This window comes from Homo sapiens, chromosome 4 (assembly GCF_000001405.40).
Source record: "Homo sapiens chromosome 4, GRCh38.p14 Primary Assembly".
Classification (NCBI taxonomy): Eukaryota; Metazoa; Chordata; class Mammalia; order Primates; family Hominidae; genus Homo; species Homo sapiens.
In genome coordinates this window covers 148,213,345-148,229,139 of record NC_000004.12, presented here as the reverse complement: position 1 = coordinate 148,229,139, position 15,795 = coordinate 148,213,345, and the positions used below count along the sequence as shown (strand labels likewise).

Sequence of the window (15,795 nt, the reverse complement as noted above, 5' to 3'; positions counted from 1 at the left end):
TATCTGCCTCCTGCATCTATCAATTTGCTTTAATCTCCTTTCAGCAAAAGGCTGTGGAGATGGTTTCTTGGCCTAGACCTTGTGTCTTTGCTCAGTTGCCTTCTTCATGGGACCTGGGCAAGAATCTTTCTACTACTAGTCATCAGCTCTTTCACCATAATTGTTCATCCCTTCTATGCCTCTCAGCTCTTTTATAGGCATCATACAGGAGTTTGCCTTTCTTTCCTGCGGATAGTTTGCCTTTCTTTCCTGCCGGCAGTCTGGCTGTGGTGGAAGGATATTTTATGTTTTTCTGAACACCTTTATTATATGGGGTTGGATATAATGTTTCATAAACAGTAGTCTCCTGCTTTGCATATCCAGCCACTTTAAACAATAGATACTCAAATTTCAGTAGTTCTTTTGACTTTTAAATGTTGTCTTCTGCTTTACTATGTTTTCAAAATTTGGATGCATGAATCAGTTGGACTTCATTAAAATTTAAAACTCCACTTACCAAAAGATACCATTAAGAAAATGCAAAGGGAAGTCATAGGCTGAAGAAAATATTTGCAGCATGTATCTGACAGAGGACCTGTTTCCATAATATGTAATGGAGATATTTATATATATAGCTTAAAAGAAGAAAGACTACCCAATGAAAAGCTGGCAAAAAAATCATTGCAGCTTTGCTTTTTTATTGCAAAATATTAGGAACCTAAGTGCCCAAACCTAGGATAATGCTTAAATAAACCATAGTACATCCACACAATGGAGTACTGTGCAGCTTTATAAAAGAATAAGAAAGGTTTCTCTGAGTTGATATGGACGATGTACTGTCACTGGAAAAAGCAAAGTACTTGGGTGTGTGTGTGTGTGTATAAATAATGCAACTATTCATGTGAGAAAAAAGAAAATATATAATACACGTATATCTGCATATTTGTGCAAAGAAATACAGGGAAGATCAGCCAGGAGCTAATGGGATTGATTGCAAATTAGGAATGAACCCTGTAATGTTGGATTGCAATAGGAGATTGCACTATGATCTCCTGGCTTTTAATATGCATACATACCTATGTGTGTCTCTTTATGTGAACATATCTACATTTCCTTGTTCTGTCTACTGAGAAGGCCCAGATACAGTGACACCCAGTAACAAGAAGCATAGCTAGCACCCAGATCTTGACTTCTTAATACCATTCACCACCAAAAAGAGTCAGGATCTTTAAGCAGTGGCTGGATTTAGGACTAGGGGCAGAGAAAATACAAATGATCTTGGAGCAGCAATATACTGGGGCTCCAGAAAGTAAGGAGGTCTCAAAAAAGGATGGAGGTATTTCAAAAGGACACAAGAACTCATCTGAAGAAACTCCTGGTGGGTAAATCTGGGATACCTTGAACAACAAAATAAATAAATGAGGGTGAATAGATTATAATCCATAGCATGCATTAAATATCCATAATTTCATACACAATAAATCTATCAATGGTGAAAAAGGGACAGCTTACAGTGCAATGCCATCAATAAATATAGAAGAAATGAGGAAAATAGAAAAACACTACTTGGCCATCACCATGGTAATAATTGTTACAAATAAGAATGATAAATGGATGCTAAATTAGTAGGTGAAAATATAAGAAGCAGAATATTTGCCTAGTCTTGAAATATCCCCCCAAAAGATACTTATTAAGAACAGAGGAAAAAATAACACTATAGTAGGGAAACCTGGCGGGCACCTTAGCCAAGTAATCAAAGTTAGTATCACCAGTAATGAGAAATGTCAATATCATGTACCACCTGGAATTGTGCACTGAGAAGGGTAGAACGTCACTCTTGTTAAATTCTTGCCAAAAATGCCTAAGTTGAATTTAAGCAAGAGGTGATATCAGACAATTCAAACTCAAAAACATTCTACGGAATGACGGGCCAGTATTTTTCAAAAGTGTCAAGGTCATGAAAACAAAAACTGAGAGACTGTCGGTTGGAGACCAAGGATCCTGGATTGGACCCTGAACCACGAAAAGGACATAGGTGGACAACCGATGAAATATAAGAAAAGTGGATTTGTTAAGAGTATTGAATTATAATTCAGTGATCATTATGCTGTGATTAAGATATTTATGTAAGATTTATAATGTTATATAACATTTGGAGAAGCTGAGTGAAGGTTATACAGGAACTTTATGTACTTTTCTTAAACTTTTTTGTTAGTCTGAAATTATTTGAAAATCAAAAATTAAAAATACTACCCAAAGACTTAAAGACAGGCTTAACCAATGATGCTGGCCAATAAGCACATTTTAAAAATGCTCAACATCATTTGTAGTCAGAGAAATACAAATGGCAAATTAAAACCTGAATTAAATGCTATTTTATACCTCCAGAAATCAATGATAAAGATAGAAAACACCAAATATTGGAAAGGATGTGAATTAGCTGGAACTCGCATGCTTCACTGGTGGGAAGCATAAAATGGCACAACCACATTAGCAAATAGCTTGTCAGTTTCCTATAAAGTCACTGTATATATACCCTAGGCCTACCTAGTACATACCTATTGCTATGACCCAGGAATTCCACTCCCAGGTATTTATCCAGGAACATGAATACACATGTCCACACAAATATGTGCACATGAATGTTCATAGCATCTTTATTCATAATGTGGGTAAACTATGTATATGCATATAATGGAATACTATTCAGCAATGAAAAGAATGAACTACTGATGCATACAACCCAGATCTTAAAAACTTTCAGGGAAAAAAGACACAAAGAAGTGCTTACTGTATGGTTCATTTACATCAAGTTCAAGAAAAGGCAAAAACCAAACTATGTGACTGAAATTAGAATAGTAGTTTCCTAGTGGTGGGCGGGGATTGGCTGGAGAGAGCACAGGGTAGCTTTCTTGGCTCAGGGAAACATTTATCCAGACTTACTATATTGTACGATACATTTTACCTCAGTTAAACAAAAGGCCCAGAGTGGAGCATAATGTCTGGTTTTGATTAAGATCTTACTGAAATTTTGAGGTGTTAACATTCATGTGTACAAAGCTTTCAGCAACTTTTTTTGTGATAGGTGCCTTAAGGAAATTGTACTGTGTTATTATTTTCTGATTACACATATCTTAGGAAAGCATAAAGGCTTATATTTTATTTAAATGTTATTAATATATTATGCATTACAGATATCTGAAAATGTCTACTCTTAGTTAAGTAAACTTCTGTGTAAAGATAGGACATTTATGAGTAAGTCCTTGTTGAAAGAGGAAAAATGACCCAGTGAGTGATACAGTCGAGTGCCAGATGTTTGAGTAAGAGTGTGAAAACATTAGGATTATAATCTCCAAGATGAATCTGCTGTTAAGTACCTTGCCTTGATTTCATTTCCTTAGGAATGTGGTTTTTGTTAATAAAAAATGTTTTTCTTGTGTTTTTATAGTGACATTTTTCTGCAACTTAGTAACTCCATTACTAGTACAGAAGAGATATTGAGATTTTTCTTTTCAAAAAAGCTCTAATTATTTCAAAATTATTCAAATTTTAATATCCATAAATTATCTGTAATTCATTAGGAGATGATGGGAATAAATATTTTCTAAATGAATATTTGTGTCAGTTTCAGGAAAGAAAAAATTAAACTCCTACAGAATTCATAACATTGTTATGTATAAACTTGAAAACAAAGTTCTAAAGATGAGGGAATTTATGTTTTTATATGTGTCTTTTGAGGCATGATTTTATGTTGTTTCATAATGAATTATATTAGCAAACATTAACTCATATTTTCTGATAGGTAGGAGGTAGATAAACTTTTCTAAAAACTCATACAATTTTATAAACCACTCTTTCACCTGTCATTCAGCAGAAAGCGCCGTCAAATTCCCAAACCTCAATATGTTTCCTATAGTCCAGCCAGAACCATACAGATTTGGTAACAGGATTCTCTAGCTTCTTGAGTAAGCTAGGGTTGAGAGTCAGAGAGACTGCATTCTAGTTAAGCCAGGAGGCCTACAGGAGAAAGAGAGGAATAATAAATGGTTCATCTGCAGTATTTTCATGTCTTCTAGTTTGTCCAGGGAAGATTTAAAGTTCCAGTTCTTACATGGCATCCTCGCTGAAGTTATAATTCCTTAATGCTTACTTCCTAATAATAAGCTGCTCTTTGTTCATCAGTTTTGCCTTGCTGCAGCAGAAAGAGGAAATAACTTGAATAAAATGGAAATAAGATTTTGAAATCCCAACTCCAGGAGTTTTTTCTGGATGTAGCTTTCCTGAAATAAGAAGGAAAATAAACATTTGTTAATTTCCTTCATCCAGTCAGGCCTTATCAGATGTAATGTTTCTTCTACTCCTTATAACAATCCTGTAAGTTAGATATTGTTATCAGTATTACCATTTAAAAAATGAAGACATTCAAGTTGTTGCTTTCAGAAGCTTCACAGTTTTCTAAGACATGGCAGAGCTGGGATTCTAACCCGTATTGTTCCACTTCAAAGCCCAAACATTTTCCCACACACCACACTATTTCTTGAAGGTTAGAGTCTGCTGAAATTCATAAACAGTGAACAAATGTAAAATGATCTCCAGCTATGGAATACTAATACTGGCTTTGCCATAGACTTGAGAGAGCTTCGTTTTTCTGTGTCCCCACAATGTAATGCTGCCTCACTCGTTCTAACTGGAGAGAAACATTCTGCACACTTATGTGACAAACATTTATTTAGTGCTTGCTTTGAGCTTTACTGTGTGTAGCGCTGAGGAAATGAAATAGACAAAATCATTGTGCTTTGAATGTCATATCATGAAATAGTGTAACACATTCTATTTTGACTAATGTGTGTATGTATATAGATATTCTTTTATAAAATCTTTAAAATTCAATTTTTCTCTTAGTCATAAAATTCTTGACTCTCTAGCTCATTTATTTACTGCAAGATAACCTGCTTCTTCCTGAGATTAGGGATTTGCATGTTGTCTATGCTAGTTTGGTCTTTTTCCTCTGTTTTTTTTTTTCTTTTTCTTTGCACATTCTTTCTCTGATCCCTATTCTTCCCACCTAACTTGAGATTCTTGACTCTCTGGTCTTTTCCCTTTTTCACTTAATCCCTTTAGTACATTGAGTCAACATATGTTTGTGAATGTCTCCCAAATCAACATCGTCAACACCTTGTTCTCTCTAGCTTCAGTTTTTAGGTTCTATATGTTCATTTGCCTATAGGATCTTCCCATGCCTATATTTTACAGGTACCTAAAACATAACAAGATGAAAATTTAACTTCTAAGCCTTCCTGCAAACTTGGCAGTTCTTCCCAACTTTCACATCACTGTTAATGATAACATCACGATTATTTCAGGCACTAACATTTATAACCTTAAAGTAATTTGTGATTCATCTCTCACCTTTGTTCTTTATGAAAAATCAGCCTCTGAGTCTTATTAATGCTTCATTCAAAATATCTCTGCTCTACCTCTTTCTTTCTTCCAATTCAGGTTGTTTCTTCTCTTTCACTTGACAGACTCTTCTGTATCCCTAAACTAACCATACTACTACTCAGTTGGTATTTTACCAATACTTCTTTCTTTATGTCTTCCTTTAATAAAAGCTTATCATAGCTCAGTAACACCCTGACTTTGCTCTTAAGTCAGCTTCCACCTTAATCAACTACCAGATATTTATTGACAGTCTGCCAGGCACCGTGGGAAAGACACAGATTTGTATAATACACAGTCTGTGTGCTCAGCCAGTTTATGGTCTAGTTGGAGAATTAAAAAATCTGTATGAAAACAACACTAACAATACATGGTAGTGCTTAGGGAGGGTCAAACGAGTGGTTCCTTATGTGTCTTAATTAAGCTGAGTCTTGGCTGTAAGCGGAGAAGTAGGGATGCATTTGAGGCTGGGGAGAAAGAATGCATTGAGATTTGAAGGGGACGTGAGGAATATTCGGAGCTTGCTGCATAGCTCTGTATTGCTGAAGGGGAGTGTCAGTGTAGGGCCGAGTAGGTGGTAAGGTTGGAAAGTGGAGCTGGAACCGGAGTCCTTTTTATTCATCTATTCAATTTGTGTCGCTTTTAAAATATTATTTCTAAGAATTATAGTTTACATTGTTTCCATTTGCTCCATTGCCCATATTATCTTTACCACATTTTTGTTTTGTTTTGGTTTTTTACCACTAATATCTTGCTGTTTCTCCTCTCCCTCTTTCTCATATATGCATTTATGTATATAGGTCTTACTATATCTAATCTACTTCATGCGGCTCCCAAGAGCATGATGTTATCTGAAATGGCTGTGTAATCCTGTAGTATCTAAAAAGCTGGTAGGCACACAGTACATGATCAATAAACACTTGTTTAATTGAATTTCAGTAAAATAAATAGCAAACTTTTACCTTCTCTGCTCCTTCTCTGAAATGTAAACATTTCAAATGGCAAGGTGTAAACTTACCTGAATTAAATGAGGTGTCTCTATCCAACAGAATATATAACCCGCATTTTAAATTGTATTGCTTTTATTATGTTTTGTTAATTTCCTAAATGATTTTCCAGCAATTCAGTTGTTAATAATAAATCAGTGTATACATTACTAGGTGTATTGCTTCTCTTTCAATTATCATCTTTTGAAAATTTCAGGAATTATATTGCCATTTTTACCAGAGAGCAGAGTTGTTGTTGAAGAAAGTACAAATTTTTCATCTTCTTTTTCAGTAGCTTTGGATAACCAAGGTGAATTTTTTTCAGGCAATCATTATTGGCTAATGCGGGCTTTGAACTCATTTATTAAATCAATAGGCTTTTGAGTACTTAGCACAGGGCCCCCTCCTAAGTAAGAAGTCTGTTGGGGATTTTAATTTTTCATGCTGTCTTCATTCCGCATAATTGCAAATAATAGAAAATGTGTCATTTTGGATGATATTTTATGATTCTTCATAAGATATATTTGAATTCCAATGAGGCTTCATTTAATTTCAAGGCAATACAATGTTGGTGTTCCATAGATTAAATAAATGAAAATCCAATTTAGTATCAGTGAATTTGCTTTGGTGTCAATAACAGTCATAGTAATAATTAACACTTAATTATTGCTTATTATGTACCAGATATGGTACAAGATCTTTACATATTATATTAACTATTTTACTATATACACACATACATACACAGACATGTATGCACAAATTTATAAGTTAGGTTACTATAATTATTACATATTAGAGATTGAGATTGTAGCACTTTTTCTTTTTTTTTTTTTTTTTTTAAGACAGAGTCTTGCTCTGTCACCCAGGCTGGAGTGCAATGGTGAGATCTTGGCTCACTGCAACCTCCACCTCTTAGGTTCAACCAATTCTCCTGCTTCAGCCTCCCAAGTAGCTGAGATTACAGGCACCTGCCACCACGCCCAGCTAATTTTTTGTATTTCTAGTAGAGATGGGCTTTCACCATGTTGGCCAGGCTGGTCTCAAATTCCTGGCCTCAAGTGATCCACCTGCCTCGGCCTCCCAAAGTACTGGGATTACAGGCGTGAGCCACCGCACCTGGCCTGTAGCACTTATTCTAAACTGACTTCCCAGTAGAATAAAGATATGTTTTACCTTTAAGTCTTATAGTTAGTAGAGGTTTTATTCATTTCTAGTCTTGATAAATAGAAAAGAAGATAAACGTACATCAATTTTTTGAAGAGGTTTATTCAATCTAGTGCTTCGTTTTTTACCACCAGTTTTCATTTGTAATATTTCATGACATTATTATGATAATTAAAGAGTCCTTTTCTCTCTGACAGTGAAGTACAGTGAATGAGAAAGAATTGTTCTATGAGTTGTACGTCCACTTTATGTGACTTTATAAAGCTACTACTCTGGAAATCCTGAGATTTAACAGATATATTCATAAATAAATTATTGATAGGTTCACATAGTAATAAAGGCTTACAGTTTACCTTTTAAACGCTTCAGCCACTGTATTCTGACAAAAATGTCCCAGGAGATAGATGAGCAAGCTGACACTGAGGGAGATATAAGGAAACATAATCGCAGAGGCGGTCTGTTTGAGCCCCATATAATGTACAGAGTTTAACAGATTTTCAACAATAATCTCATCAGAAATTTGGTCTCACCCCCAGATATTCTTGGTACATGTTTCAGTTGCTAGCTTCTTCATTTTACTCCTCTTAGCATGTGATGGCAAGGGCCTCAAAGCCTTCAGAAATGTTGGTTGAGTCTGAATTAAGGAAGCAGATGTTAAAAACCTTGTGTGTTGCACCTCTCCTTGGATTCTACAATGAAGCTTTCATTTGATTTTTAGAGATTGGTTGATTGACTTTGGCATATGGAAATGTTTTCTCTTTTTTTCTTTTTTAGAGATAGGGTCTCACTCTGTCACCCAGGCTGGAGTGCAGTGGCACAATCATGGCTTACTGCAGCCTTGACCTCCTGGGCTCAAGCCATCCTCCCCCCTCAGTTTCCCAAGTGCCTGAGACTACAGATGCACATCACCTGGCTAATTTTTAATTGTAGAGACAGCGTCTCGCTATGTTGCCCAGGCATGTCTCAAACTCCTGTGCTCAGGTGATCCTCCCACCTTGGCGTCTCAAAGCGCTGGGATTACAGGCACGAGCCACCATGCCTGGCCAGGAAATGTTTTCTGATGGTTTCTATAATCAGAAGTCAGTCCACTATTTCCTTAACTTATGGTTTCTCTCCCTCTGTTGTTCTTAAGCCTTTTAGTTACAGGATTTCTTCATGCTTTTAAAAATTATTGAAGATCTGGCTGGATGCAGTGGCTCACACCTGTAATCCCAGTACTTTGGAAGGCTGAGGTGGCAGGATCACTTGAGGCCAGGAGTTCAAGACCAGACTGGGCAACATAGTGAGACCCCGTCTCTACAAAAAAATTAAAACATTATCTGGGTTTGGTGGTGCGTGCCTGTGGTCTCAGTTACTTGGGAGGCTGAGGTGGGAGGATCACGTGAACCCAGTAGTTTGAGACTGCAGTGAGCAATGATTGCACCACTGCACTCCAGCCTGGGGGACACAGTGAGACCCGGTCTTAAAAGAAAAAAAAAATTAGCTGGGTGTAGTGGTGTATACCTGTGGTCCTAACTACTTAGGAGGCTGAGGTGTGAGAGCTGCTTGAGCCTGGGAAGTTGAGGCTGCAGTGAGCTATGTTTGCAGCACTGCACTCCAGTTTGGGTGACAGAGTGAGACTCTGTCTCAAACAAAGAAAAAATTATTGAAAATCCCAAAGAGCTTTTATTTATGTAAGTTATAGCTATTGACATTTTTTGTGCTAGAAATTAAAAGACATTTTAAAAATGTATGTTAATTCCTTTAAAAATAACAATAAAACTCATCGCATATTAACGTATATTTTCTGAAATAAAATTTTTAAAATAATGAGAAAATGCCGTTGTTTTATATCTTTGCAAACCTTTCCAACATCTGGTTAATAGAAGACATCTGGATTCTTCTGTTGTTTTGAAGTATATGAAGAAAATTGGCCTCACACAGACATGTAGCTGCAAAAGAGAGGAGTATTTTAAGAGCCTTTTCAGATAATTGTGAACACTTCTTGTAGCCACTAGAAAACTCTATTGTATACTCATAAAAGCATGAGAATGAAAAGGGCAATTAATGTCTAAGTATAATTATGAAAATACTTTTGACTTCTTGAACCCCCATAACAGTCCCTGAGACCCTGGGCCACAATTTGAGAACCCTTGTTCTAGCTCACAAATGAAAGATCATTTAATTTTAGAGTTCCAGGCAAAGTTAAAGACATTAATTAGGAACTTGTATTCAAAATATATAAATTACCCCTAGAACTCCATAATAAGATGACAACTCTTTTAGATAAAAGATTTGAGTAGACGTGCATAATCTACATGTCACAAAGGAGATACATAAATGGCTAATAATCACATGAAAAGATATTCAATGTCTTTAGTCATTAAGGAATTACAAAATAAAACCATAATGAGATGTAATTTCACATACACTAAGAGGCTACAATAACAATACTTTTTAAACAACAGTACTAAGTTTTGGTGAGGTTATGGAAAAACACGTCATATATTGCTGGTGGAAATGTAAAATGGTGTAGCCAGCATGGAAAATGATTTGGCAGTTTCTTAAAATATTAAACATACACTTAACCTAAGATCCAGCAATTCCACTTCTACATATCTACCCAAGAAAAATGAAAATGTATGCCCATACAAAGATTTATATTCAATACAAGAAAAACTTGGGAACAATCAGATGCCAATTGGTAAATGTAAAAACAACATGGTATATCCACATAATGGAATACTGTTCAGCACGCACTGCAACATGAGTGAACCTCAAGCATTGTGCTAAGTGAAAAACACCAAAAACAAAATACTCCATATTATATGATTTCAATTATATGAAGTGTCCAGAAAGACCAACCTAAAGAGACAGAAACTAGATTAGTAGTTGACTGGGGAGTGGGAACAGGAATTAACTGCAGATGGGCAGAAGAGACCTTTTTAGGGCAATGGCAGTACTAAAAAACTGGATTGTGACAATGGTTATGAAGCTCTGTAAATTGACTAATTGGGCACTTAAAATGGGGAAAAATAACTTCTATGTTTAAAAAAAAATGTGTACTTGAAAAATAAGATGGAGGAAGTACACCAAAATGTTAACCAAACCAAAACAATAAAACCACTAGGTGAATATGGGATTCTTGTTGCCAGTAAGATAATATGTGTTTATGTTCTATAGCCTTTTGGCTATAGAGACAGTAGCATTTCCTATGATTTTGCAGACTCCTTCATCATTTATATGATAGACTATTCAACTATAATATGTTGGTTTTTAAGGCTTCTGTTTGAACTATGTTTTCAACTTTTTCCTGATATTGCCAAAGGTGTTCTTGTCACTAAGATCTTATTTCTATTTGTTCTCATTAATGCAACAGCTATCAACTGTAGCTATGATATTTACCTTTGTTTTCGTACTTAGACTTATAGCAAATTCACAGCCTTAACACACTGCAGACACTGGACTCCTAGTGTCTTAAGAGGTTGAAATCAAATGTTGGTAACTTTTTCTTTTATACTACTCTGCTGAAGTTACCTTTTAGAAAATTAAAACAAGACAACAAAACTATTTATCTGATGGAGTAAACCTCCCAGCGATTATAGACATGTAGTTACAGTAGATTTGCCTTGGTTTTAAAAGGTTTTCATTGTCCTTATGTTCAAAGATACCACTGTTGAAAGTTCTCACTAGTGGCTACAAGGGTTCATTACGAAGGCTGCAGTCCATTACACATGGGTTCTGCCTGCTGTTTAGAGTTCTTCTCCTTGTCTTCTCAGTTTATAGCTCTAGGCTTTTTGAGTACTTGATTTACAGCAAATACTCAAGCCCAGTCAGAGGGTGGAAAACTTTAGACTATTCTTTTTCGCAGAATTCACTATTCTGGATCCACATTTGGTGTTAGAAAAATGTAAATGGATAAGAGGAGAGAAACATCAACTGGGGTCAAAAGACAGCAGGGGCAAACCAGCATAGGTCAGCAAAAAGAAAAGATGGAAAGAGGAAGGACCTCCATTGGTAGGATGAGACTACAATAGCAGAGTGGATCTGTTTTGGGAAGACTTAATTAAATAGGACAGTCATGTCATTCCAGTGAGTTCCAAAGACTCCATTGCACAAGTAGCCTCTTAGGGAAGTTCAGGAAGGTATGACTGGCCCTGTCCCAAGGCTGAAAATCTCTGAGGTGTAAGTACCAGGTGGGGATCTGTGGGAAATGAGAGATTTTTCCTGTGCATGTCCTAAGAGTTTTCTGTATTCGTATTCTGAAATGGAAGCATAGTTCTCTGGACAGATTGCCTTCCTGTGTGGTTTCCACTAGGTTAGGTCTGGCAAGGGAGGTCAACAGAAGCTTCATATGGTGAGTTTTCTCCCAGCCAGAGACTTAAATACTTTCCAGAGCTGTAGCGGGGAACTCTGACCACGGGGAACCCATTGCAGTCATGCAAATAAGTGCTTTGCCACAAGTCAGGTTGGTTTATCTATGCTTATTCTGTTAAAACATACTATATAAAGTTCTTAAGTGTCATTTGTATTGTCTTTACTAGCTGTCTTGCCACTTTTTGCTCTTGATATAATTTAACTTTCAGTTTCAGTTCACGTTTGGCTTATCCCCAGCTCTGTGGTGGTGGCTTTCAGCAAATGTGGCTTTGGTAAAAAAGACTTTGGCCACCATCTAAGACTTAGCTGCTTGTGGGTCTGATCTGTAATTTGATACCTTTGGAGACCGTACCTCTGGTTGTGATCATGAGCTAGGTAACATGTTCAGATAGCAGGGTGATTTGACATTCAAGATAAATAAGTTGTTTATCAGTAGGACCATGTCTGATACTACTTAGTCAACAAAGCAAAGATCTGGGCATATAGTAGGTCCCAACTGTTCTCCAGAAACATTTGTGGGAAATGTCTTTTTTAAGTATAAAGATGCCTGGGTACCATGTCTGATTTAATAAATTGAAAGGATTTAATAAATTGAAAGTATTTTGAAAAGTTTCCAGTAAGGTTCTGATACCCAGCCAAGGCTAAGAACTGCTATATGCACATGTGGCCCTCAGAGTGTAGCAAGGGTGCCAGAGCCTGTCTGCTTGGGCTCAAATCTTGGCTCTTTCATTTACTCTCGGCAAACACTTAGGCAAGTTACTTCACTGCTCCCAGCCTCAGTGTTCTCATACGTAAAATGGAGATGCTAAGACTGTTTCATGGGATTGTTATCTTAGTTAAATGATCCAATAAAGTGCTTAAGCACACTTTTGACTTCGGCAGTTGACCAGGAAATGCTATTTCTTCTTTGGTCATTATCCTAGATCAGGGACCAGATCTGGCCCCCTGACTATTTTTGTACTGGGAACTAAATGGTTGGGGGGGTGGTGGGGAGTCAAAAATATTTTGTGATATGTTAAAATACATGAAATCCACATTTCAGTGTTAATAAATAAAGTTTTATTGGAACAGAGCCATACTCATTCATTTATATATCATCTATGGTTGCTTTCCCATTATAATGACATAGTTGAGTAGTTGTGACAGAAACTATGTCTCACACTTTGGGAGGCCAAGGCGGTTGAATCACAAGGTCAGGAGATCACGACCATCCTGGCTAATGCAGTGAAATCCCATCTCTACTAAAAACACACACACACAAAAAAAATAGCTAGGCGTGGTGGTGGGCGCCTATAGTCCCAGCTACTCAGGAGGCTGAGGCAGGGGAATTGGTTGAACCCAGGAGGCAGGGCTTGCAGTGAGCTGAGATCGAGCCACTGCACTATGGCCTGGGCGACAGAACAAGACTCCATCTCAAAAAAAAAAAAAAAAACTATGCCTCAAAAAGCCTAAAATATTTACTATTTAACCCCTTTGGAGATCTCCTAGATCTTTGCAGTGTTCAGAGCCTAACAGGTTAATTGTCACCTTTCTCAAATGGACAAAAGAATGAGGAAGACTTTTCACTTGATGTTCTCATGTTTTTGGTGCCAGTGTTACTTTCCAGGGTATGTTGAAGGGCACATAAATTCAATAGCTATTTTAACCTCAGTGTTACAAATGCATATCCTTGGTCACGTGTGGCATTGCTGTGATGCAGTTTAATGAATTACCTCCACCTTCTCCATACTGTTTATCCACAGCTCTCCATACTGTTTATCCTCAGCATTTGCTTCCTCATAAGGAAAGCCCGGATCAGCTTCTGTTAGCTTGCCCAGCAGTCACCACCAGCATGCAGCAGCAGTTCATGGATAAACGCCTCAAGGGCATTTAATAACATTGCAGTTTAGTGAACTAGAATAGTTTTCCAGAGAACTGAGTGTCAATTTTAATGTTTTTTTCCTGATACTTTATGAAACACCAGAGGCATCTAGCTGTGAATCCCAAGGACATAAGGGTAACACCATTCAGGGACATGCCTGTATTCTGGATGCCTTGTTTTCCCTTTTCATACCCCGAACAGACTTTGTGTTATTTATCCGAATGCCAGCTTCCAGGATTTGTTTTTCATGCTTAGGCATAAAGATAAGAATCCAAACACGGAGGGAAATAGAAGGCTAGAATCCTGCCCAGTAGGGCTTCGGTGGAGAATGTACTCCTTACCCAGGCCCCCATCCCCTTGTTGAAGGCTGCACGCAGCCCCAGGCTGCATGCCTGGGTGCTCTTGTCCTTTCAAGGCTCTTAATCTGATTTCTCCAGATTGAAATCAAGCCAGCCAAGATGTTTTGTTTGGCCTGCATAATTTTTTTAACGTTTTTAATTATTTGCCAATATTTAAAAATGGGGAGATTTCATATAAACTCTCGACGTCCAGCCTCTCCTGAAGTAGTGAAAGGTCTGGCAACACGGAGCCTGCATTCCAGCATGCCAGCCATTGGCAAGCCCTGAGCAGCAGCTGTAGCAGCTGCTCTTTCCTTGAGCCAGGGCGTGCAGGCTCCTGCTGCCTCACTCATTTCATCATCTCATGGCTCAGCTCTGTGGCAAGATGCTGGATCCCACATTTCCTAGATGCGGCTCAGGTAGCTTCTCAGGAGCAGTCTTCTCTTCCCTGTTTTCTTAGTTATAGGTAATTTTCAGTTGTCCATCTGAATGGCTAAATGGTCATGGAGCCAAATGCATTCATGGGGACCTAGATCATGATTTGGAAAATTTTTATTTTTGTTTTTAGGTTGAAAAGACAACCCAAATTGTGGAAAGTGGGTATATAACATAGTTGTTGTATTACTCTGTTTTCCTTTTTAAAAAAAAAAACTCTTCAAAAACACCAATAAAAACTGCCTAGACAATATGGTATGTAGACTGACAAACAGGAGATCTTTCTTAGCTTAAGGCCCAACTTTAGAATCAATATTAATAGCTAAGTTATTTAGCAACCTATTCTGCTAAGCACTGCCCTTGGCATCTGAAAATGTTTCTTCTGCACTTCTCAATAATCTAGCTAGGTAGACTATACTTTTACAATTGCACAGAAGTGGAAATAGACCCCTAAGAAGTAAAGTAACTTGCACCAAGTCATAGCTAGTGAGCAGATGAATTTGATTTCAACCCCAGGTCTTCTGATTTAAAGTCTGACATCTCTCCATTACCTCTGTGACCTGGGGTAAGTCCTAGTTAGAATGAAAACCCCTGTATTTTCTTCCATAAGAAGTGAAACTTTCTTTTCAATAATTCAAGTTAGTATTTAATATTCAAGCTTCAAGGAGAACCATTTGCACCATTTTTCCCTGCCTTTTGGAGCTCAAGAAAAAGGGGACTATGTAAGTTGTAAAGTATTCCATAGACAGCTACAGTGACTGTAGTTTCGTGGCGTATTCATTTTATGGCTTTACTGGATGAAACAGAATCAGATTACAAAGCTGTCATTTGCAAAAGTTCTGAGAACGTTGCATGCCCCATTGAAGAAGATTTTATTTTAACTTTAATCAGAATTCAATTTAAATAATTTAGAGTGTTTTTAGGCAGAATGGCTGTCTGAAATGTAATGTCTTCTTAAACTATTAGATTGTATTGACTTAAAGGTTGAGTACATGTGAAAGACCATAGCCTTTGGAACAGCCGCAGAATAATACTCAGCTTTAATTTCATATGGGATAAACGTATTCAATTCAGAATACTATAAATATGTAAGCAGAAAACTGAATTGTGAGTAAGTTATTAGGTAACACTAAACATACATAAAAATTCCATCATTATTGGGGGTCAGTTTCTCACCTTTTGTTTGACATTCCTTAGACTTTAACACCATGTCTAATGATTTCTACTTTTCCTT

General features: G+C 37.1%; 1 protein-coding gene and 1 long non-coding RNA gene across 12 annotated transcripts in view; one reads left to right on the top strand and one right to left on the bottom strand.

The window, feature by feature from the left end:
* Window positions 1-15,795, top strand: part of NR3C2 (nuclear receptor subfamily 3 group C member 2) — a 366,559-nt gene that overhangs the window by 216,183 nt on the left and 134,581 nt on the right. The window lies entirely within an intron of this gene.
* On the bottom strand, window positions 2,874-9,956 carry LOC102724672 (uncharacterized). 2 transcript variants are annotated; one of them, XR_007058324.1, is made up of 5 exons: window positions 9,415-9,956; window positions 8,102-8,205; window positions 7,925-7,990; window positions 4,091-4,259; window positions 2,874-3,996 (listed from the first exon to the last, which is right to left on the bottom strand). It is a non-coding gene; the product is annotated as an uncharacterized LOC102724672 (long non-coding RNA). The 2 variants fall into 2 exon arrangements; XR_007058323.1 differs by having other exon boundaries at window positions 2,874-4,259.